Source organism: Homo sapiens, chromosome X (assembly GCF_000001405.40).
Source record: "Homo sapiens chromosome X, GRCh38.p14 Primary Assembly".
In the NCBI taxonomy this organism is placed as follows: domain Eukaryota; kingdom Metazoa; phylum Chordata; class Mammalia; order Primates; family Hominidae; genus Homo; species Homo sapiens.
In genome coordinates this window covers 131,985,267-131,987,465 of record NC_000023.11, presented here as the reverse complement: position 1 = coordinate 131,987,465, position 2,199 = coordinate 131,985,267, and the positions used below count along the sequence as shown (strand labels likewise).

At 41.0% G+C, this 2,199-nt stretch overlaps 1 annotated feature.

Annotated features, from left to right (window-relative positions):
* Positions 1,531–1,825: an enhancer, noted in NCBI's record as "tiled region #3545; K562 Activating DNase unmatched - State 5:Enh". NCBI's record gives its function as "activates a minimal TATA promoter and a strong SV40 promoter by Sharpr-MPRA in K562 cells {active_cell/tissue: K562}" and the evidence as "EXISTENCE:reporter gene assay evidence [ECO:0000049][PMID:27701403]".

The following is a 2,199-nucleotide window of genomic DNA, read 5'->3' as shown; positions in this document are numbered from 1 at the left end:
CTAAAACAAAAGCAACTAGATCAGTGAGCCTAAATTGAACTTTAAAAAAGAGGAAGTGAGGAAAGTTTGTTTGTGAACGCTTGTGGCAGGAAATCCTGTGACTAACCTTATTTCACACATCTCAGATTATTCAAAAGAATCTTAACTTTCTCAAGAACAGTAACTTACAAAATTACGGATAGGTAGGAAGAATAAGTTCTAGTGTTCTATAACACTTTAGGGTGAATATGGCTAACAATAATTTATTGTATATGTTCAAAGAGCTAAAAAGAGAGGATTTTGAATGTTCCCAACACAAAGAATTGATAAATGTTAGAGGTGATGAATATGCTAATTACCCTCATTTGATCATTACACATTATATACAGTATTAAAAAATCACTCTGTAGCCTATAAATATTATACACATTTATATGAGTTATATAACATATACAATATACCATAATATATAATATAACACATAATTGTATATATTATTATACATACTTATATATATTTTCATGTAATAATAATTATATTATTGCATGTTGACAAAAAATGAAAGGAAGAAAGAAACTTGGTAACCTAAAATGGAAGGAGGTGTCTCAGAAGCACTGGTATCTGGGAAAAGTTGACACCTTCGCTAAATAAACTAATCCAATTTGAGTTGTCTTTTACTGTGTGAAGGGATGCTTTAGGGAACATGCCCTCCTGGTATTTCTAATAAAGACAATAATGCAGCATTAACAAATAGGATTTGAGAGTATTGAATAAAAATGCCAACATATTGGAAACAAACGAAATCAAAGGCTATTCTCCGTTTACTTGTAGAAATGTTTCTACAGGGCTGAAGGAAACCATTTTATATGAGCTATCATCATTTGAAATGGCACTGATGAAAGTCTGGACTATGGTGAGGACTGCAGGAGGCTGAAGAGTTGGTGAGGAAGGGAGAGGATGATAGTCAGGATCAGGCAATTACAAAACAACAAGCATCCAGGCAAGTGATAACATATACTCCTGGAAAGGCACAATAATGGAAGAAGCCCCTCTCCTGGGCTCTGCTGGCCCATTAACAGGGAGGGTTAGGGTTCCAATCACCTGAAGCTCTAATTTCCAGCTGAAGGTGCAAGTGTAGCAAGAAGAGGGTCTCAGACTTATCTTTCATTGACCATGGGTGAAAATGTACCTCAGGCAAATACACAAGTTCTTTGCTTTTTATATTCTGGAAGTATTTATAAAGCATGCTCAGTTTTCTGAAGACAGTAAAAGAAGAAAATGTGAAAAGTGTTTCTAATGTATGTGGAGGGCTAGCATGGTTCAGGCCAGCTGATTGGATTTCCTAAATTGCCACCTATCAAGCAGGACACTCATTACAATACATCACATCACTGCTCTCCTTGATGGAGTCAACAGGACTCTCACCAAGAGGCTAGCCTCCATTTTAAATGGAATCATACATCCAGAGGTGCGCAAACCACATCAATACTCATCTTACTGCCTCTAGTTGGTACCACGTGTCTCTGTGGGGATGTGCTGTGGGGCTGCATGTCTCCACAGGCAGCTGAGCCTCAGAAAAGGCTGGAATCCTGTTTACAAGCCCGACTTGTCATTTCACTCATGGACTGATGAGGGCAGGGCTCTTTCTGTCCTGTCTGAAATCATTTGGGGGAACCTGCTGTGTTGAAAGAGCTCAAACAAAAAGCAAGATGAGTAAATAAGTCACATATTTGCAGGAACATGCTGGAATCCAGGCCTCCAGCTGACAAAGACAGACTGGTGGTGACCTCTCGGGTCTCTCTGCCTCCTTATCAGGCTCACACAGGCCAGCCACCAGATCTGAGGGGTCAGCTCAAGGTTGGAGACCCCAGCAGCCTGAAACAAGTACCCCTAGGTGGACTAGAGAGCAGGGACTAGAGACTGGGGCTGGAATTACATCTGTACCTGGTTCAGGCAAGGTTCAGGAATCTGAGACTAGAGCCAGACAGAAGCCAAGACATGGGGGAGGGGGCCAGTCCAGTCCAAGGGAATACTGTGAACAAAGGCAAAGAGGCAGGAAGGAAAGAAGCACTTCTCAGGAGTAAGGAGGATCTGTTGTCAATGCCCAGGAAAATAGGAGGAGATAGAAACCTGATGACCGAGGAATCAAGCGTCAAGACCCAGGAGAACACCTTGAAAATTGTCCAAAGCTGCAAAGGGGATGGGGTGGGTGTAAAGGAA